General features: G+C 38.0%; 1 protein-coding gene across 10 annotated transcripts in view; it reads right to left on the bottom strand.

Moving 5' to 3' along the window:
* ADAD1 (adenosine deaminase domain containing 1) overlaps window positions 1–22,236 on the bottom strand; it is a 50,774-nt gene extending 28,538 nt beyond the window's left edge. For 2 of the 10 annotated variants that reach the window (XM_024453888.1, XM_024453889.1), the window contains exons 1-6: window positions 21,802–21,889; window positions 21,006–21,185; window positions 20,067–20,255; window positions 17,281–17,448; window positions 7,590–7,658; window positions 4,870–4,995 (exon numbers count right to left, since the gene is read on the bottom strand). In XM_024453888.1, the coding sequence (XP_024309656.1) occupies window positions 4,870–4,995; window positions 7,590–7,658; window positions 17,281–17,448; window positions 20,067–20,255; window positions 21,006–21,177 (724 nt within the window). In that variant the 5' untranslated portion in view covers window positions 21,178–21,185; window positions 21,802–21,889. Of the gene's footprint in view, window positions 1–4,869; window positions 4,996–7,589; window positions 7,659–17,280; window positions 17,449–20,066; window positions 20,256–21,005; window positions 21,186–21,562; window positions 21,730–21,801; window positions 21,890–22,131 lie in introns of those variants that run through there. The other 8 variants (XM_005262741.3, XM_005262744.4, XM_011531603.3 and 5 more) reach the window with 6 other exon arrangements.
* Window positions 22,237–22,628: the final 392 nt, after the last annotated feature.

Here is a 22,628-nt window from a genome sequence, read left to right as displayed (position 1 = left end):
AAATCAAATGGAAATTAAAAAATTATTTGAACTGAACAATAATTGTGACACAATCTATCAAAACCTCTGGGATACAGCAAAAGGGGTGCTAAGCGGGAAGTTCATAGCATTAAATGCCTATATCAAAAGTCTGAAAGGGCACAAACAGACTAATCTAAAGTGACACCTCAAGGAACTAGAGAAACAAGAACAAACCAAACCCAAACACAGCAGAAGAAAAGATATAATAAAGATCAGAGCAGAAATAAACAAAATTGAAACAAAAAACACCAAAAACAAAAGATAAATGAAACGAAAAGCTGGTTCTTTGAAAAGACAAACAAAATTGATAGACCAGTAGTGAGATTAACCAAGAAAAGAAGAGACAAGATCCAAATAAGCTCAACTAGAAACAAGACAGGAGATAAGTGATGACACAGAAATACAAAAGATCATTCAAGGTTACTATGAACACTTTCACATGCACAAACTAGAAAATCTAGAAGAGATGGATAAATTCCTGGAAACAGACAACCCTCCTAGATTAAGCCAGGAAGAAATAAAACTCTGAACAAACCAATAACAAGCAGTCAGAGTGAAACCATAATCTAAAAAATCCCAACAAAAAAGTTCGCAACCGAACAGATTCACAGCTGAATTCTATCAGACATTCAAAGAAGAATTGGTACCAATCTTACTGAAACTATTCCAAAAGATGGAGAAAGAGGGAATGATCCCTAAAACATTCTATGAAGCCAGTATCACCCTAATACCAAAACCAGCAAAAGACATTAAATAAAAAGAAAACTAAAGACCAATATCCCTGAGTAACATAGATGCAAAAATCCTCAACAAAAATACTAGCTAACTGAATCCAAGAGCATAAAAAGATCATATACCATGATCAAGTGGGTTTCATACTAGGGATGTAGGGATGGTTTAACATATGCAAGGTGATAAATGTGATACACCACATAAACAGAATTAAAAACAAAAATTATGTGATCATCTCAATAGATAAAGAAAAAGCATTTGACAAAATCCAGCATCGCTTTAAGATTAAAACCCTCAGCAAAATTGGCATAGGAGGGACATACCTTAAGGTAATAAAAGCCATCTATGACTAACACACAGCCAACATTATACTGAACAGGGAAATGTTCAAAGTATTCACCCTGAGAAAGAACTGGAACAAGACAAGGATGCCTTCTCTCATCATTTCTATTCAACATAGTACTGGAAGTCCTAGCCAGAGCAACCTGACAAAAGACAGAAATAAAGAACGTCCACATCAGTAAAGAGGGAGTCAAACTGTCACTGTTCACTGATGGTATGATCGCATATCTAGAACACCCTAAAGATTCATCCAAAAACCTCCCAGATATGATAAATGAATTCAATAAAGTTCCAGGATACAAAATCAATGTACAAAAATCAGTATCTCTGCTATACATCAACAGTGACCAAGCTGAGAATCAAATCAAGAACTAAACCCCCTTTACAACAGCTAAAAAAAAAAAAAAAAAAGAAAAGAAAATTAGGAATATACCTAACCAAGGAGATGAAAGATCTCTACAAGGGAAACTACAATACACTGCTGAAAGAAATCACAGATGACAGAAACAAATGGAAACACCTCCCATCTCCCATGCTCAAAGATGGGTAGCATCAATATTGTGAAAATCACCATACTGCCAAAAGCAATCTACAGATTCAATGCAATTCCCATAGAAATACCATCACTGTTCTTCACAGAACTAGAAAAAATCCTAAAATTCACATAGAACCAAAAAACAACCTGCATAGTCTAAGTAAGACTAATCAAAAAGAACAAATCTGGAGGCATCACATTACCAGACTTCAAACTATACACTACAAGGCTATAATTACCAAAACAACATGGTATTGGTATTGGTATACAACTAGGCACGCAGAATAATGGAACAGAATAATGGAACAGAATGGAGAACCCAGAAATAAAACAAAATACAGTCAACTGGCCTTTGACACAGCAAACAAATACATAAAGTGGAGAAAGGACATCCTATTCAGCAAATGATGCTGGGATAATTGGCAAGCCACATGTATAACAATAAAACTGGGACCCTCATCTCTCACCTTATACAAAAATCAACTCAAGATGGATCAAAGACTTAAATCTAAGACATTAAGCCATAAAAATTCTAGAAGATAACATTGGAAAAACTCTTCTACATTTTGGCTTAGGCAAAGAGTTCATGACCAAGAACCCAAAAGCAAATGCAACAAAAACAAAGATAAACAGATGAGGCTTAAACTAAAACACTTCTGCACAGCAAAAGAAATAATCAGCAGAGTAATCAGACAAGCCACAGAGTGGGAGAAAATCTTTGCAAACTATGCATCTGACAAAGGACTAATAACCAGAGTCTACAAGGAACTCAAATCAGCAAGAAAAAAAAAAATAATCCCATCAAAAAAATGGGCTAAGGACATGAATAGACAATTCTCAAAAGAAGATATAACATGGACAAAAATATATGAAAAATACTCAACATCACTAATTATTAGGGAAATGCAAATCAAAACCACAATGCAATACCACCTTACTCCTGCAAGACTGGCTATAATTTAAAAATTAAAATAATAATGGATGTTGACGTGTATGTGGTGTAAAAGGAATACTTTTACAATGCTGGTGGGAATGTAAACTAGTACAATTTCTATGGAAAACAGTATGGAGACTCCTTAAAGAACTAAAGGTAGAATTATCATTTGATCCAACAATCCCACTACTAGGTATCTACCCAGAGGAAAAAAAGTCATTATATGAAAAAGACACTTGCACACACGTTTATAGCAGCACAATTTGCAACTGCAAAAATATGGAACAAGCCCAAATGCCCATCAATCATGAGTGGATAAAGAAATTGTGGCGCAGACACACACACACACACACACACACACACACCCTGGAATACTACTCAGCCTGGATAGAGTTGGAGACCATTATTCTAAGGGAAGTAACGAGGAATGGAAAATCAAACATTCTATGTTCTCACTTACAAGTGGGAGCTAAGCCAGGAAGACAAGAAGGCATAAGAATGATATAATGGACTCTGGGGCACCGGGGGAAGGGTAGCAGGGGGGATGAGGGATAAAAGACTACACACTGGGTACAGCATAGACTGCTTGTGTCATGGGTGCACCAAAATCTCAGAAATCGCCACTAAAGAACTTATCCCTATAACCAAACACCACCCATTCCCCCAAAACTACTGAAATTTTTTAAAAACTGATGAGGCAAAATTTCTAATAATACATCTTAAATATGTACTGATTATGTGAGTTACTCCAGGAATGTTCATCTGATTGCACTCAAGCTTTTCCTGCTTATATTCATACTCATATTATCTAAAACTACATTTATTATTCTTATCCATGCTCTTCTTCAATCAGCTTCACACTAGCTTCTAGATTCCCTATGGATGAGGAAACATGATTATCCTACGTCAACTTTAAATGTTGGTATTACTTTTTATTCATGTCACTTCATCTATCATTTATTGTCACTTTCACCTTATCAAATTTTTTTAAAAATGTATTTTTCCCTTCCCATTTATGTCCACCTCAACTCTAATGTAGGCACTCCATCACAACCACATAAATTGTGATTCCATAATTCAGGTTCAACCCCTGCAATCTTTTAAAAAATTATTTGTCAATTATTGTTTAAATATTCATTTATCTTAATCATTACAAATGAAATTAGGCTTTTACTAAATGCCAAGTACTAATATTGACATTATTATATCTAATCCTAACAACTCCATGAAGTTGGGTTGTCACTGTTTCTATTATCTCTACTTTTAAGAAATGAGAAAAAATTAAAGCATAGAGACGTTAAGTATATAATTTGCCCAAAGTAATTTAAATAGCAGAACTGAGTCTGATTAATGCTCCCAACAATTACAGCCCATGGTCTATCACTGTTTGAAATTACAGCTTTAACTGATCTTATTAAATTTAACTTTTGACCTGTTTTTAAACCACTCCATAATCTGGCACTATTTTATCAATCTAACTGCATTTTGTATTACTCCTGTACACAGACTAATCTGTGCTAGCAATAAATTTACCTCATTGTCCTGCAGTTTTCTCACTGCTGCTTCCCTCATTCCTTTCTCTCTGCAAAAATGTCTTCCTTTCTTCTATTTATCCAAATTTTATCAACCCTTAAAGTTACAGCTTAAGTCATGCCTATTCCAAAAGATTCTAAACCCTATCATTTCTTTCCTATCTATGAATTCTCACACACTTTTTGCATTATGGAAAACAAGTTTTAACTTTTATCATCTTAGACTTTCGACTAGTATATTTATCTACTCTGCCTACTTAGATCATAACAACTCCTTAAGAATAGGAATCAAATCTCAAATTGTTTCTATATAATTTATAATATCTAATTCAGAGATGAATGTAAGACTCAAATGGTTTTAATTAATGATGAACTCAGAACATTAAAGCGTTAACACAAGATAAAAACATAGTTAGAATCACATTATATGTCCACAAGAATAAGATTCCATATTTCAATCTTTTCTTACTTGAAAATGAAGAAAAGATGCTACTCTTAATGTTACTGAGGACTAGATTTCAGAAGGGTAGTGATGCCAGCAGGGCTAAGGTTTAAAATGTTAGGACTTTCACCATTTTGCAGTTCTCTGTTGGGTCCTGGTCAGTGTGCTTTATCTCTACCTTGGAGAAGCTTTGTGTTTAATGACCCACACTTACTAGAAAAAGTCACTTCAAATCAATGCAACACCATTGTGTACAGGGGCAAAGATAGTTAACTAAAATATTACTATTAGATTATTACAATATTAGTTTTTCCCAAATATGTGGACTTACCTCTTTCAATTATAAAAGCAGCCAATGAACTGCTATATTTCAGGTATTCTGAACGATTAGAAATTAGTTGATTAAATCTTTCTTTAACGATCTGTGAAATCTTTGCATATTGAATATGTCTCCCTTCTAGAAAAAAATCAAAACATAAATTTCAAGAACATTGTGCTCCTCCTAGAGCTGTCTTATTATTCTTATTATAACCTTACAATCAAATTATTTAATAATATATAGACATCTGTAAGCAAATTTATAATTTAGGTCATGACTGAGATTTCAAAGTTTTCAATTCTAAAAGAATATGAGTTATTGAGCTTTTTGGATAACTTATAAAAAGATGTGTCAGTATTACATACTAGCAGACTACTGATTTATATCTGTAGAGTTTCTCTGATGATATATTCAAAAGTCATACAGGACACAAGACAATTCTTTGTTGTACAGGACTGTGCCACACTTTGCAAGATGACCAGCACCCCACTGAATGCCCTAATCATTGTGACAACCAAAATACATTCTCTTATTATTTGTCCCATTGAGAACCGCTATAAACCACTAAGCATTTAGATTCTTGATATAGTTCCATGTTCTCACTAAAAAAGACAGAAATTTTGAAAGAGGAGGAGGATAGCTCTAAGTAACCCAGGATTACCATAGAACAGTTTATAACCAAGAATATACATCAAAAGTTATCTATGGATCCTTTTTTTTTTTTTGAGATGGAGTCTTGCTCTGTTGCCCAGACTGGAGTGCAGTGGCATGATCTCGGCCTCCCGGGTTCAAGCGATTCTTCTGTCTCAGCCTCCCAAGTAGTTGGGACTACAAGCGTGCGCCACCATGCCCGGCTAATTTTTGTATTTTTAGTAGAGACAGGGTTTCACCATATTGGCCAGACTGGTCTTGAACTCCTGACCTCATGATCCACCCGCCTTGGCCTCACAAAGTGCTGGGATCATAGGCGTGAGCCACCGCGCCCGGCCTCATTATTTTTAATGAAGATATGGTCCAGTTAGAAACATATAGCAAAGTAGGCTGGGCGCGGTGGCTTACACCTGTAATCCCAGTACTTTGGGAGGCTGAGGGAGGTGGATCGCTTGAGGTCAAGAGTTTGGGACCAGTCTGGTCTACATGGTGAAACCCTGTCTCTACTAAAAATGCAAAAATTAGCCAGGCATGGTGGTGGGTGCCTGTAATCCCAGCTACTTGGGAGCCTGAGGCAGGAGAATCACTTGAACTTGGGAGGCAGAGGTTGCAGTGAGCTGAGATTGTGCCACTGCACTCCAGCCTGGGCGACAAGAGCAAAACTCCACCTCAAATAAATAAATAAATACACACACACATATATATAGCAAACCACACAGGCTGGGAAATAGTGACTACCTCTGTAACTGGCCCAACAATTTGTGGGTCTCAAATCTTTCTTCTTCAAAAGTTATAACATCCAAAACTTGTTCTTACCCATAAATTTAAAGAATTTGCTTTCCCTTTTATGACAGATATGTCTCCTGACCTAAGCCTACCAAACCTGGTATTTTTAAAAACTACATATTCTTTCTCACAGATTATCACCTGTTTTCCTGAAGTAATAGCAATCTATATTATTTGCCATCCTTGACTTAGGATTCTATCCTCTTATTCGTTAAAAATGTACACAGAAGCTGAAAGGAAAGACAAGAACCTCTTCCCATATTAAGAGATCACTGCTGTAGGACTGATCCCTCATTGCCCTCTCTTCATCAGTTCTTACAACTGTTAGGCCACACACTATATCTAACTATTGGTGGATTTTTGTCTTTTGAATGGGCCTATTTTCCCTGGTCTGGTCCTTTTACTTCACGCAAGCACACAAATGTGCAAGGCCTTTTTCCTGTCTTAGAAAGACAATGGATGCTGAATAGGCATGGAACTTGTCAAATCCTAACCTGCAGGCCTGAAAATGGAAAATAAAGGCTCCTTTCCTTTTTCCTCTTACAAATACTCTAAACTTTAAAGTCTGAAGTGTGCCCACTTGGTAGTAAAAGTAAAAATTAAGAATAATTGTCTAGCTTTCAGGAGATTCATAATCTAAAAGGCAAAATATATAATAACTACCATACAATGTGAAATATGATTGTTATAATAAAATAATATTAGTTACTATTTAGTGAGTATCTATGGTGTGTTAGGCACTGATGTTAAGAATTTTACATTTATGAATTCATTTAATCCTCATGATAACCCTATAAGATAATTACCGTAATGACTATCTCATAGATGAGTAAAAAAGGTACACAGAGAAGTAACTGGTCCTAGGTCACACAACTAGTAACTTCAATTGAAGTTGCAGCTTTCTCGGGCTTGAGTGACAAATAATGGTCATTAAAACAAAATAAACAAATTATTTGAAATGAATGTGTCAAATGACCTCCAAGTATCACAAAGCCATTGGTTTTCGTTCATGACAAGCCCACCAAAGCAAAGAATTCTAAAAAAGATGTATGAAATTGATAAAACATCTCCTTATAGGAAAAAAAAATCTTTTCTTCAATCTGTCCTCTCCATTCCTTGTTTCTTTCATTTTTAGCATAGTATAGAAAAAAATTCTTCTTTTTGTAGAAGTGTGAAAGGTTTGGATGATAAAGTGTTAATGTACATTTTCATACCTATGCTTATTTTAATTATGTTGTTACTATTTTTAATTGGGCTACTCTTCTAAAGAAGAACGTCACAAAAAACTTTCCTACCATAATGTACTTTTGAAACATATGCTAGTTCAGATAAAACAACAGGTTCTGCAGGGAAAGGAGGAGGACCTGTAAACAAAACAAAAACATAAGGAAACATGAAACTTCAACATTCCAAAGAGCTGGTATTTCTTTTATTCTGTAATAAAACAGCAATCCAAAAATTTTTTTTTCCGTATTTTTGCCAACTCTGGGCCATCAAATACTCATTAGCTCAGCCCTGATAAATGTCTTTCCTATTTTGAAATTGTTTATGCAAACAAATTTCTGAGTTTCCTAATCTTACAGTACAATATTGCTTGCTTTATAATAGATGCAACATCCTGAAAAGCTGCTAAAATGAAATCCTATTTTAGATACATATAAACAACTTTCTATTTATAATACTGTGAAAAACATTTTAAATTAATGTTCTATTAAAAATTAATGAGTAAAATATATCATTTTATAAATAACACTATTTTACCAGGCCATTTTTCTAAGGGAATGCTACATTCGCAGTTTTCAATGCTTTTAGTCTCACTCTTTACAACTGCTTTTCAATTTGGTCTCCAAAGTTAGGGAGTACAGAAAAAAGTTTAAAAACCACTAAACCTGAGGGACAAAAAAAAAAAAAAAAAATCAGGAAAATTTAAGGAAGAGGCTGCAGAAGCTAAGGTACCAATTAAAGTAGTCAGTTTCTCTTAAGAATCATTCATAAAGACAAAGAAAGCAAACAGAACTGCTTCTCTGGAATTAATTTTGAGGAAGACAGAAGTGAACAAAGAGTGACAATGTCACCTTAGAGCTCATACGAGTAAAAGAAAAATACTAAGTATGGTTTAGATACATAGACGCTGGACTTTTTATTTTTTTATCTGATAAGAAATTCCAGTTTTATTTATTTAGAGCACTACATCCCCCATATACCATATAGTAACAATTTATAAAGTATAAACTTTTTTCAAAAACTTTCAACTTTTTAGATACAGGAGGTACATGTGTAGGTTTGTTAAATGGGAATACTGCATGATGCTGAGGTTTAGAGTATGGATTCCATCACCTGATAGTGACCATAGTATCCAAAGGTAGTTTTTCTTTTACCCCCACCTCCCTCCACCCTTTAGTAGTCCACAGCATCTATTGTTCCAATATTTATGGCTACACATGCTTAATGAGTAGCTCCTAATATTAACAACAAGTGAGAACTTGAGGTATTTGGTTTTACATTCCTGCGTTTATTTGCTTAGGATTATGGCCTCCAGCTCCATCCATGTTGCTGCAAAGGACATGACTTTATTTTTTTAATGGCTGCATAGTAGTCCACAGTTGTGTATGTACCACACTTTCTTTATCCAATCTACCACTGATGGGCACCTGGGTTGATTTGATGTCTTTGCTGTTGTGAATAGTGCAGAGATGAACATAAGATTGCATGTGTCTTTTTGAAAGAATAATTTATTTTCTTTTGGTTATAAACCCAGTAATAGAGTTGTTGACATTCTGGATTTTAGATAAGCAGAACTTTAAAACTCAGAGACAGATAGATTTAATTCCATGGAATGAAAATTAAAGATATTAAATCCTGTTTATTAGGCATAAATAATTTCAATAAACAAAGAAAGAAAGACTGTACAAGATGTTTTGCATTTTAAAACACCAAGTACAAGGTCAGGCATGTTGGCTCATGCTTGTAATCCCAGCATTTTGGGAGGCTGAGTTGGGCAGATCACTTGAGGCTGGGAGTTTGAGACCAGCCTGGGCAACATGGCGAAACCCTATCTTTACTAAAAATACAAAGGTCAGCTGGGCATGGTGGCGCGCACCTGTAATTCCAGCTACTCAGGAAGCTGAGACACAAGAATCACTTGAACCTGGAAGACAAAGGTTGCAGTGAGCTAAGACTGCGCCATTGCCCTCCAGTATGGGTGACAGAGAGACTCTGTCTCAAAACAAAAAACAAAAAACAAACAAACAAAAAAGACAAGTCCCAAGACTTATCCCCACAGCCCAACATACCGGCTGTGGCAGTCTGTGGCCAAAGGGCCTCTTCAGGCCTAAACCTGACCCATCCTTCCTCATTGGGCGGGGCTTCCCTGGAGGATCTCCAATAACTCCAGCTAGAGGCTCAGGGACAGAATTTGGATCTCCCTGGGCCTGAGCCCCTAAGTGGGAGGGGTGGCCATAGTCTCTGCGGACCAGCAGACTTAGCCTTTCTTCCTGGTAGTTCTGAGGAATCTGGGCAACGCAGAGGAGTGGGTTTCTCCACAGCGAAGCACACCCTCTCCAACAAAGGACAAAGTGCCTTGTTAAGCGGGTCCTGCTCCCCGTGCCACCCAACTGGGTGAGACATTCCAACAGGGGTTGTCAGGCACCTTATACAGGAGTGATCCTACCGGCATCAGGTTGGTGCCCCTCAAAGTCAGAGGCCCCAGAGGGAGGAGCAGGCACCCATCTTTGCTGTTCTCCAGCCTCCCTGAGTGACATCTCCAGGCACGGGAGAGAATCAGATAAATAGGGCCTGAAGTGAACCCCAACAGACTGCAGCAGCCTTGCAGAAGAGGGACCTGACTATTGAAAGAAAAACGAACAAGCAGAAAGCAACAATAGCATCAACAAGAACAAAAAAGCTCCCCACAAAAACCCTATCCAAGGGTCAGCAGGCTCAAAGACTGAAACTAGACAACCTCACGAAGATGATAAAGAATCAATGAAAAAATACTGAAAACCCAAAAGGCCAGAGTGCCTCTTCTACAAATGATCACGATGTCTCTCCATCAAGGGCACATAACTGAATGGAGGATCACATGGACAAATTGACAGAAGTAGGATTCAGAAGATGGGTAACAAAAAACTTCGCTGAGCTAAAGGAGCATGTTCTAACCCAATGCAAAGAAGCAAGCTAAGAACCTTGGTAAAAGGATAGAGGAATTGCTAACTAGAATAACCAGTGTAGAGAGGAACATAAACTACCTGATGGAGCTGAAAAAAACTGCATGAGAACTTTGTGAAGCATACACAAGTATCAACAGCTGAATTGACTAAGCAGAGAAAAGGATATCAGAATTTGAAGACCACCTTACTGAAATAAGACATGCAAACAAGAATAGACAAAAACATGAAAATGAATGAACAAAGACTCTAATATGGGACTTCATAAAAAGACCAAACCTATGATTGACTGGAGTACCAGAAGGAGACAGAGAGAATGGAAACAAGCTGGAAAACACACTTCAGGATGTTATCCAGGAGAACTTCCACAACCTAGCAAGACAGGACAAAGTGCAAATTCAGGAAATACAGAGAACACCATTAAGATACTCCACAAGAAGATCAACCCCAAGACACATAATCATCAGATTCTCCAAGGCTGAAATGAAGGAAAAACTATTAAGGGCAGCCAGAAAGAAAGGCCAGGTCACCTACAAAGGGAAACTCTTCAGACTAACAGGGGATCTCTCAGCAGAAACTCTGCTAGCCAGGAGAGATTGGGGGCCAATATTCAACATTCTTAAACAAAAGAACTATCAACCCAGAATTTCACATCCAGCCAAACTAAGCTTCATAAGTGAAGAAGAAATAAAATCCTTTTCAGAGAAACAAATGCTGAGGGATTTCATTACCACCAGATGTGCCCTGCAAGAACTCCTGAAAGAAGCACTAAATACGGAAATGAAAAATCGGAAAGAGCCACTGCAAAAACACACCAAAATATAAAGACCAATGACACTATGAATAAACTAGTGCATCAACTAGTGTGCAAAATAACCAAATAGCATCATGATGACAGGATCAAATTCACACATAACAACACTAACCTTAAATGTCAATGGGTTAAATGCCCCAATTAAAGCACACAGACTGGCACACTGGGTAAGGAGTCAAGACCCATTGGTGTGATGTATTCAGGAGATCCATCTTATGTGCAAAGACACACACAGGCTCAAAATAAAGGGATGGAGGAAAATCTACCAAGTAAATGGAAAGTGAAAAAAGCAGAGGTTGCAATCCTAGTCTCTGACAAAACAGACTTTAAACCAACAAAGATCAAAAAAGACAAAGGAGGGCATTACCTAATGGTAAAGGGAAAAATTCACCAAGAAGAGCTAACTATTCTAAATATATATGCACCCAATACAGGAGCACCCAGATTCATAAAACAAGTTCTTAGAAACCTACAAAGAGACTTAAAGTCCCACACAATAATAGTGGGAGACTTTAACACCACACTGTCAGTATTAGATCAATGAGACAGATAATTAACAAGCATATTCAGGATTTGAACTCAGCTCTGGATCAAGTGGACCTGGCAGACATCTACAGAATTCTCCACCCCAAGTCAACAGAATATACATTCTTCTCAGTGCCACGTGGCACTTAATTCTAAAATGGACCATGTAATTGGAAGTAAAACACTCAGCAAATGCAAAAGAACTGAAATCCTAACAGTCTCTCAGACTACAGTGCAATAAAATTAGAACTCAGGATTAAGAAACTCACTCAAAACCACACAATTTATTGGAAATTGAACAACTGTTCCTGAATGACTCCTGGGTAAATAATGAAATCAAGGCAGAAATCAAGAAGTTCTTTGAAACCAATAAGAACAAAGAGACAATGTACCAGAATCTCTGGGACACAGCTAAAGTAGTGTTAAGAGGGAAATTTATAGCACTAAATGCCCACATCAGAAAGCTAGAAAGATCTGATATTGATACCCGAACATCAATTAAAAGAGCTTCGGAGGCAAGAGTAAACTAATCCAAAAGCTAGCAGAAGACAAGAAATAACTAAGATCAGAGCAGAACTGAAGGAGACAGAGACATGAAAAACCCTCCAAAAAAAATCGAATCCAGAAGCTGTTTTTTTTCTTTGAAACAAATTAACAAAATAGACTGCTAGCTAGACTAATAAAGAAGAAGAGAAAAGAATCAAATAGACACAATAAAAAATGATAAAGGGGATATCACCACTGACCCCACAGAAATATAAACTATCATCAGAGAATGCTACAAACACCTCTACACAAATAAACTAGAAAATCTGGAAGAAATAGATAAATTCCTGGATGCATACAACCTCCCAAGACTAAACGAGGAAGAAGTCAAATCCCTGAATAGACCAATAACAAGCTCTGAAATTGAGGCAGCAATTAGTAGCCTACCAACCAAAAAAAAGTCCAGGACCAGATGGATTCACAGCTGAATTCTACCAGAAATACAAAGAGGAGCTGGTACCATTCCTTCTGAAACTATTCCAAACAATTGAAAAGGAAGGACTCCTCCCTAACTCATTTTATGAAGCCAGCATCATCCTGATACTAAAACCAGGAAAAGACACAACAAAAAAGGAAAACTTCAGGCCAATATACCTGATGAACATCAATGGGAAAATCTTCAATGAAATACTGGCAAATGAAATCCAGCAGCACATCAAAAAACTTATTCACCACAATCAAGTCGGCTTCATCCCTGGAATGCAAGGCTGGTTCAACATACACAAATCAATAAATGTAATCCATCATATACACAGAACCAAAGACAAAAACCACATGACTATCTTAATATATGCAGAAAAGGCCTTTGATAAATTTCAACATCCTTTCATGTTAAAAACTCTCAGCCGGGCGCAGTGGCTCATGCCTGTAATCCCAGCACTCTGGTAGGCCAAGGCGGGTGGATCACGAGGTCAGGAGATCAAGACCATCCTGGCTAACACGGTAAAACCCTGTTTCTACTAAAAATACAAAAAATTAGCTGGGTGTGGTGGCAGGTGCCTGTAGTCCCAGCTACTCGGGAGGCTCAGGCAGGAGAATGGCATGAACCCAGGAGGCAGAGCTTGCAGTGAGCCGAGATCATGCCATTGCACTCCAGCCTGGGCAACAGAGCAAGACTCCGTCTCAAAAAAAAACAAAAAACAAAAAACAAAAAAAAAAAACCTCTCAATATATAAGGTATTGATGGAACATGTCTCAAAATAATAAGAGCTATTTATGACAAACCAAAGCCAATATAATATTGAATGGGCAAAAGCTGGAAGCATTCCCTTTGAAAACTGGCACACTATTATTCAACATACTTTTGTATGTTGAACTCCTATTCAACATAGTTTTGGAAGTTCTGGCCAGGGCAATCAGGGAAGAGAAAGAAATAAAAGGTATTCAAATAAGAAGAGAGGAAGTCAATTTGTCTCTGTTTGTAGACGACATGATTTTGTATTTAGAAAACCCCATCTTTTCAGCCCCAAAACTTCCTGAATTGATAAGCAACTTCAGCAAAGTCTCAGGATACAAAATCAATGTGCAAAAATCACAAGCATTCCTTTACACCAACAGTAGGCAAGCAGAGAGCCAAAGCATGAATAAACTCCCATTCACAATCACTACAAAGAGAATAAAATACCTAGGAATACAACTAACAAGGAATGTGAAGGACCTCTTCAAGAAGAACTACAAACCACTGCTCGGGGAAATAACAGAGGACACAAACAAATGGAAAAACATTCCATCCTCACGGATAGAAGAATCAATATCGTGAAAAGAAAATGGCCATACTGCCCAAACTAATTTATAGATTCAATGCTACTTTCGCAACTACCATTGACATTCTTCACAGAATTAGAAAAAACTATTTTAAATTTCATATGAAATCAAAGAAGACCCCATATAGCCAAGACAATCCTAAGCAAAAAGAACAAAGCTGGAGGCATCATGCTACCTGACTTCAAACTATACTACAAGAATACAGTAACCAAAACAGCATGGTACTGGCACCAAAACGGACATGTAGACCATTGGAGCAGAATAGATACCTCAGAAATAACTCCACACATCTACAACCATCTGATCTTCAACAAACTGAACAAAAACAAGCAATAGGGAAAGGATCTCCTATTCAGTAAATGGTGCTGGGAAAACTGGCTGGCCATATGCAGAAAATGGAAACTGTACCCCTTCCTTACACCTTATACAAAAATTAACTCAAGATGGATTAAAGACTTAAATGTAAAATCCAAAACCATAAAATCCCTAGAAGAAAACCTAGGCAATACCATTCAGGACACAGGCATGGGCAAAGACTTCATGTTAAAAATGCTAAAAGCGATTGCAACAAAAGCCAAAATTGACAAATGTGATCTAATTAAACTGAAGAGCTTCTGCACAGCAAAAGAAACTGTGATCAAACAGGCAACCTACAAAATGGGAGAAAATTTTTGATCTACACATCTGACAAAGGTCTAATATCCAGAATTTACAAGGAACTTAAACATATTTACAAGAAAAAAACAATCCCATCAAAAAGTGGGCCACAGATATGAACAGACACTTCTCAAAAGAAGACATTTATGCGGCCAACAAACATATGAAAAAAGCAAGCTCAATATCACTGATCATCAGAGAAATGCAAATCAAAACCACAATGAGATACCATCTCATGCCAGTCAGAATGGCTATTACTAAAAAGTCAGGAAACAATACATGCTGGTGAGGCTGTGGAGAAATAGGAATGCTTTTATACTATTGGTGGGAATGTAAATTAGTTTAACCATTGTGGAGGACAGCATGGTGATTCTTCAAGGATCTAGAACCAGAAATACCATTTGACCCAGCAATACCATTACTGGATATATATCCAAAGGAATATAAATCATTCTACTATAAAGACACATGCACACGTATGTTTACTGCAGCACTATTTACAATAGCGAAGACATGGAACCAACCCAAATGGCCATCAATGATAGAATGGATAAAGAAAATATGGTACATATACACCATGGAATACTATGCGGCCATAAAAAGGAATGAGATCATGTCCTTTGAAGGGACATGGATGAAGCCAGAAGCCATCATCCTCAGCAAACTAACACAGGAACAGAAAACCAAATACTGAAGTTCTCACTCATAAGTGGGAGCTGAACATTGAGAACACATGGACACAGAGAGGGGAACAACACACACCAGGGCCTTTTAGGGGGTGGGAGTTGAGGGAGGGAACAGAGGACAGGTTAATAGGTAAAGCAAACTGCCATGGCACATGTATACCTATGTAACAAACTGGCATGTTCTGCACACGTATCCTTTAAAAAAACAAACAAACTACATCAGTCCAGGTGCAGTGGCTCATGCCTATAATCCCAGCACTTTGGGAGGCCAAGGTGGGAGGATCACTTGAGGTCAGGAGTTCAAGACCAGCCTGGCCAACATGGTGAAACCCCATCTCTACTAAAAATACAAAAATTAGCCGGGTGTGGTGGCAGGCACCTATAATCCCAGCTACTAGGGAGGCTGAGGAATGAGAATCACTTGAACCCGGGAGGGGGAGGTTGCAGTGAGCAGAGATCGCACCACTGCACTCCAGCCTGGGTGACAGAGTGAGACTCTGTCTCAAACAAAACAAAACGAAAAACACTACATAAAAAAACCATGTGCAAAATATTAAAGAAGATATACATGAAAAATAATTTTAAAACAGTGATGAGCTCAAAATTTTGAAAAAAACTAAAGTTTTAAAAGTTTTATGTTGTGAATAAGAAGGAGAAGACTAGAAAAATTGTTAATAATGAATACTGAACTCTTATCTTCTACATCCTTTCATAACACAAATAGATATTTAAACTCAGCTGTCTACAGTAGAAAAAATAAAGAAGAAACTCTAGCTTACTATAGGGAAAAAGATGACCTTATTATTTTTTCAGGCTCTAGCCCAAGACAGAATATATCGTTAAAGAACTTTTAGTTGTAATTAAGGCACCATTGGTACTTTTTGGAGAAAACAATAATGAATATAGAAGTGCCGACAGCAGACATGGGTAAATGCTGCCTTAGTTTTCAAAGTAGTGGCAGCAGACATGGTTAAATGCCACCTTAATTTTTATGAAGGAGGGAAAAAAATAAATGTTTTAGAAACTAAAGTTTGCAGACCAGTGGGCAAAACATTCGCTAGCCCTACATAAACATTCTGAAAGCTATTAGGGAAAAGGCAGGAGAAACTAATCATCAATATATTTTTCTCACAATTTAACTGGATGCTTAGGAAATTCTATAGGTATGTTTTAACTTGAGTTCAACAAAGTATTTTAAATACTTTGTAATTTGATTGTGTATTCTTCAGTAGGCACTGGTTAAGGACTTTGCATGCATTGTTTATCTAATCCTAATGACAACCACAGAAGGTATAACTATCACTGTCTCCCCTCTCCAAATAAAACAGGTTTAGAGGGCAAACAACTTGTCAGCATAGGGTCAATATTCCAACCTGAGCAATCGAATTCTGGAGTTCACACACTTAACCTATTTGCTATGCTACCTTAGGCCATTTTCTCAAGTAATTCTACCATTTACTGAATTTAACATAAACTTCACAAACGCTGCATTTAAAACCTCTAAGTATTAAATGTACAGTATTACATTCATAATAAGAATCTAACAAATTACAAAGAAAACTATATTTTAGGACTTAATCTGTCAATTAACAACCTGACAAGTTACCGGACAGTTTAGCAACATGATTATACCTTTCAGTGCTGAAATATGCAAGAGCATTTTAACTACTATTAAATACATCAGTGGACAGCAACTGAAATAAATTATTCAAATCCTGCAACTTCTATCTTGTAGCTGCCAAGTAACTCTCATTAACATAAATCTTTCAGGTGATTCCTTTTGAAAAATGATACCTCTTATAAATACTTTATAATCAAGAGTATTTACCTGATGTTTCTAAAATTCGTGGTTCAGGTTCATCCAGTTGTAGAAGCTCATCAAGAGCTAATTTTGCTGCATTGGATCTAGACTCCTTTTTATTTTGTCCCAGTCCAGTCTTGTACTGAATACCATCCACCACAGCACAAAAGGCAAAATATGGTCCCATAACATTACCTTGAAAAAGAACTCAGAATGAATGCTACAATAATTTTTATTATATTCTTGCAAACAATGTATGTACATAGGAAAACATTCCAGTACAAAAATTCTCAAAAACTACCTCATAAACACCAACTTTACAAGTCCTTTTGTAGGACCAATAGGAGTTAAACTAAAACTGAATGGGCATCTGAACTAACTCTGAGGATTCAAGCAGCTTAGGCCAGCTCCAGATTCAGTGTGAGCAATAGGGCCAGTAGTAGAGTACTGATCACACGTGGAGTAACAGTGAGTGTCTAGTATAATGCCTGGCAATGGTAAACACTCCACTATCTGTCAAACGGCTAGTGAGAGATAAAATGTGGAGATTTCACGTAACATCTCACATCTTTAAAACTTAAATACAAACGTCTTTAAAACTTTAAAACAAAGAAAGCTGAATTTCCCCCACCCCTTGGATTGCCCTAATATACTTTTAAGCTCCAGAATATAAGAGATCTCTTTGAAGAAACCCTGTGTACTATCAGGGCATTATAAGCAACTCAACCCATTACAGCTGTGAAGGTTGGGGAGTGGGAGAGGAGGTGGGGAGAGAGAGGAAGAGAAAACCAAAACATAATGATAAACTAAAGAATTAAACTGAATGTCCAGTCATCACAATTTATTTACTTAGCTTTTATATTTGGATAAAAAATGAAATAGAATTGTCTTGTCTCCCGTATTTACAGGTCAAAGATTCTTCTGTTTGAGGTTTTGCTTGTTAGTATTTAGACTTTAGGAGGCCTTTAGGAATCTGACTCTCCACTCTTTGGTTACAGATGGCTACATACAATGCTGCCACACATAAACCCCACTCTTATTTCCTCACATACTCACAATTATATTACATTAACTCTTTAATATGTACATCTAGGTTTTACAAGCAACTCCTGACTGCTTCTGGGTAAACTGCTTTCCCCATAACATCTCAGACTTCAGTTTCCCAAGTTCTTTTCTTCATGATCACCTGGGTTCCAATCCAGGTTTACTAAATCAGAGAGAATTTTGTATAATCAACAAGTGGCCCAGATGATTCTTATGTATATTACACATCTTGGCTGGGTGCACTGGCTCACACTCATAATCCCATCACTTTGGGAAGCTGAGGTTGGAGGATCTCTTGATGCCAGGAGTTCGAGGTCAGCCTAGGCAATATAGTGAGACTCCTTCTCTACAGGACATTTTGAAAATTAGCCAGGCCTGGTGGTGGATGCCTGCAGCAGTCTTAGCTATTTGGGAGGCTGGGGTGGGAGGATCACCACTGCACTCCAGCCTGGATAACAGAGTGAGAGCCTCTATCTAAAGAAAAAAAAAGATATTTTACCTAAAATTTATTAGTAAGTCTTCTGTGTCAGAATGCGGAGCCTTTAAGCTTCAGCCTGTTTATAACTCAGGTTCTCAAACTTTAGTGTAAATCTAAATCACACATAGAGCTATTAAAAAATTCTGACACTGTGGTTTCACTACCAAACACACTGGATTATTGAACTATATACTTTGAGCATAAAATGTACACCATTAACAACCAACAGGTCATGTTTTTTAGTAGTTTTTGCTCAGAGCAGTGAAGATTTGTCCTGATCATTTATTTTTTCTTACAATGACCAACAGTTTACATTTTCCAAGAGCAGTGTGAGATTACTGGAGGAAAGCTAACTAGTTACACGGAAATTAAGTCCACCTTCTACATTACCACCACCATCTATGTTAAGATACTATTTCTGTCACCTGTTAGTTTACTGGTATTCCACCTAAAACAACAGACTGAAACTTGATGTCGCTGTAACTATCTTTACTAAAATCTTGACATGTTAAAGTTATTTAGCAAAGATGTTAGCTTTGAGATCCATATTGGCAAGTTAGCACCAGGAAAATTAAAGAAACAACCTAACTACTCATGTGTGTGTACAAACACACACACATGTACATATACACAAAGTTTTTAAAATTTAAAATTTTAAGCTGTCAATGCCTCTTAAGAGCACTTATCCTTCCACTTTCCTAAAATCTTCCTAATCATTGGCTATAATGTGAAGAGATCAGAAACTACTTTCTGCATTTTCCTTATCTGTACTCGTGTAGCCTTTCACAGGCACAGCATGGTTACAGATTATTCTGTTTGGGGAGTTTAAGAGAGAATTGAGAAAACTGTAACAGACTAGTCTGCAGACAAAGTACCAATCATATAATCTAATGCTTGAGTTTCAGAAGGCAAATTTGACCTTTTCTTAGTCATCATCCTCACAGAATCCTTCTCATAAAATAATCATAGTCCAAATATTTAACATCTTTACAAAAGCATGTTTATGATACAGGAAGTAATTACACCCCAAAATAGTCCATGAGACTAATTTCCATTCAGCTAGCGACACATAAGAAAATTACAATTCAATGATTATAAAACTTTGGTATATGTGAGTTATTTGTAGAGGCTGCAAAGGCTAAAGAAGTGTGAACATAAACATTTAAGTATTCTTGTGAAAACATACAATCAGTTACCTAACTCCAATATTAGAAGAAAGAACTAAACTTAGCACAATTATTTTGCTATACTTTTCGTTTTGTTTTTGAGACAAATACAATTTTACACTTGCCTGTTGTCACAGTTTCCTTAAGGTCAAGCTGAACTCGCTGCATTTGTGCAAACTGGTGCAAGGCTGACACAGGATTTATCTCTCCACGTTTGTATTTCATTATAAATTCCTTAGGTATTTTTTTTGGAGGAAGGACAGGATTTGAAATAGATGAAAGATTCTTGGAAAGCAACGGCTCTGGAAAATTACCTAAAAACAAATGTTATACTTGTCAATTTGGTTTAAAACAAACAAACAAAAATGAGCAAAAGCAATAAATCCTCCCCGAAATGGAAGGTTGTCCCAGATACACTTCATCATATGTTTTTCTTAAGTTTCTACTAAACAATTTTGGCACACATGACAAGCACCACATGTTATTGCATCTATCGAGTACTAAGACTATTTTGCAAAAAGGTAATATCAACATGTCATTATTAAGTGATATCAAGGGTCATGGAATTTTAGTGATGTCAGGGTCTCCAGAAACCAAGAAATTTTTACAGATAATATCACTAAGGCCTAGAATACAGAAAGACACAGATCTGGGACTAAAACGTAGCTTCTGGCTCCCATCCACTCATTTTCTCACTGGATTCCACCGAATTTTAAAGTATGTTTGCCCCTGCTTTATACTTAACACTACGCTAAGTGCTATGTGGAATACAGACCAGTGTAAGTCCAGTATCTTCCCTTGCGCCTCACCTCAGAAAGGCAAGCCACACTTGAAGGGGGGGGTTTGAACAGTCAAGGTGGTAACAGATGGTTAAACGAGCGGCACAGGTAAAGAGCTCTACAGGCCTCCTCCAAATGTTGAGTCAGATGCCAGCTCCAGGTACACGGCCACGGGTAAATGTCTATACAACCACGAAACCTTTAAACCAGAGACTCGACAGAACTTACTGGCCATCCTAGAATCTTAAAGAACTGACTCATTGTTACAAATGAAAAAAGTCGTACCCGTTACTTGCGTAACCTTGGATGCCATCTTGGACAGGCCGTAACTTTCTGAGGACCATCCTGTGGGTGTAGTTATCGTCTTTGTCGCTGGTTGAACTGGCAGGTTCTTTTTCAGCATCTGGGCAAAGCTGGGGACCTGCGAACTCTGAAACCAATGATTGTTGCTAGCCATTTTCTCACCTAGAGGTCACGATAAAATTGGCAGAAAACAAGACAAAACGCTATGTAAACTGAAAATATTTACTCCAAACCCCACCCCCCCATTATTTCCATAAATGGCCTTGGCACATATTCAGATGACTAGAGTCAAATCCCTCTTGAACTGATCTCACGACTGCTTTTTGAGTTTTCATAGACACGGACCTCTTCTCTCCTGAATCCCTTCCCTAAACCTCTGCTACAAAGGAGGAAAGAAGGAACAGAGAGAGGTCCCTGTAAAAGACCTTAAAACTACTCAGGAGTTAGGGAAGATATTAGCAAGGTCAGGAAAAAAGAAAAAAAGAAAAAAAAATCAGCTCGTAGGTGGCCTCCTGAGTCCTGGCCCAACCCCTACCCACCAAAGTTGTCCTTCCTGCCCTCTATGTGGGAAGACGGGCAGCTGCTGCTGCGCCTCAGGCCGGGGGCTCGCAGGCGGCCGCCGCCGCCGTTGCTCCCACCTCCCAGCCTCAACCTCTCGCTTCAGGCCGCTCTGCGCGAGGTTCACAGGGTCAGGGCCGCATCTTTCAAAAGAGGCCTCGCGTCGCCCCTGCAGGACCCGGGCTTGCGCCCCCGCGCCCTGCTTCGTCCAATCACTAACCGTCTCGGAGGCCGGCGCTCTTGCCCCCGCGCTTGCGCCAGCGTCGTGCAGCCGAGCTCCGCGTCTTGCGTCACCTAGGGAAGAGACGCCGACCATCGCAGGCGTTCGAGGCCTGGGTGACTCTGTTCTCCGAACACAAGGACCGGGTCCAACTGGCCGCCTTACCCTTCTGGAGAAGCCAGGTAAAATCGCGCAGTTCAGCCTCCTCCCTTACTGTCCCGTGCCCCCCTACAGCCCTGACAGAGCACTGTAGGGATGATTATTTATACTGCAGTTGTCTATGCCTGGGGCCTCCTTCCCCAGAGCGGTTGAAGGCTGCCCAAGGGGTACCTGCGTGAGGGTTGTTTCAAGAAAATCCCTCATTTCATCCACAATCGCAATCTGAGAAGGTGCCCATGGGGAAGGCTTGGCCTCCACTGTGGCCTTCCTGTTTACAGAAAAACTACCTCACACGTCCTGAAGCTTGGCCAGTGAGCGAACAATCATGAAAACAGATGGAGTCTTTGAGAGCAAATGGCTCTGCTATCCGGATGACAAATCCAGTGTGGATGTTTTCAATTCTTTGCTCTCCTAAAGGTTGAAGGAGGCCCTACTCGAGGTGTTAGGTGATAGTTCGTGGAAAATAAGAATACTAAGTCACCCAACAAATTTCGGCATGTAAACAAAAAGTAATCCAAAGGATGGAGTAACTTTGTTATAACAAAATTTCAGTGTCCATCTACCTTTTTATAGGGATAAGTTTTCTCAGTAATTAAGTCAGATGTAAATCTTTTTTTTTAAAAAAAAGAAGGAAGCCAGGCATGGTGGTGGGCACTGGTATTCCCAGA

This window comes from Homo sapiens, chromosome 4 (genome assembly GCF_000001405.40).
Source record: "Homo sapiens chromosome 4, GRCh38.p14 Primary Assembly".
Taxonomy (NCBI): domain Eukaryota; kingdom Metazoa; phylum Chordata; class Mammalia; order Primates; family Hominidae; genus Homo; species Homo sapiens.
This window is presented reverse-complemented; position numbering and strand designations above follow the sequence as displayed.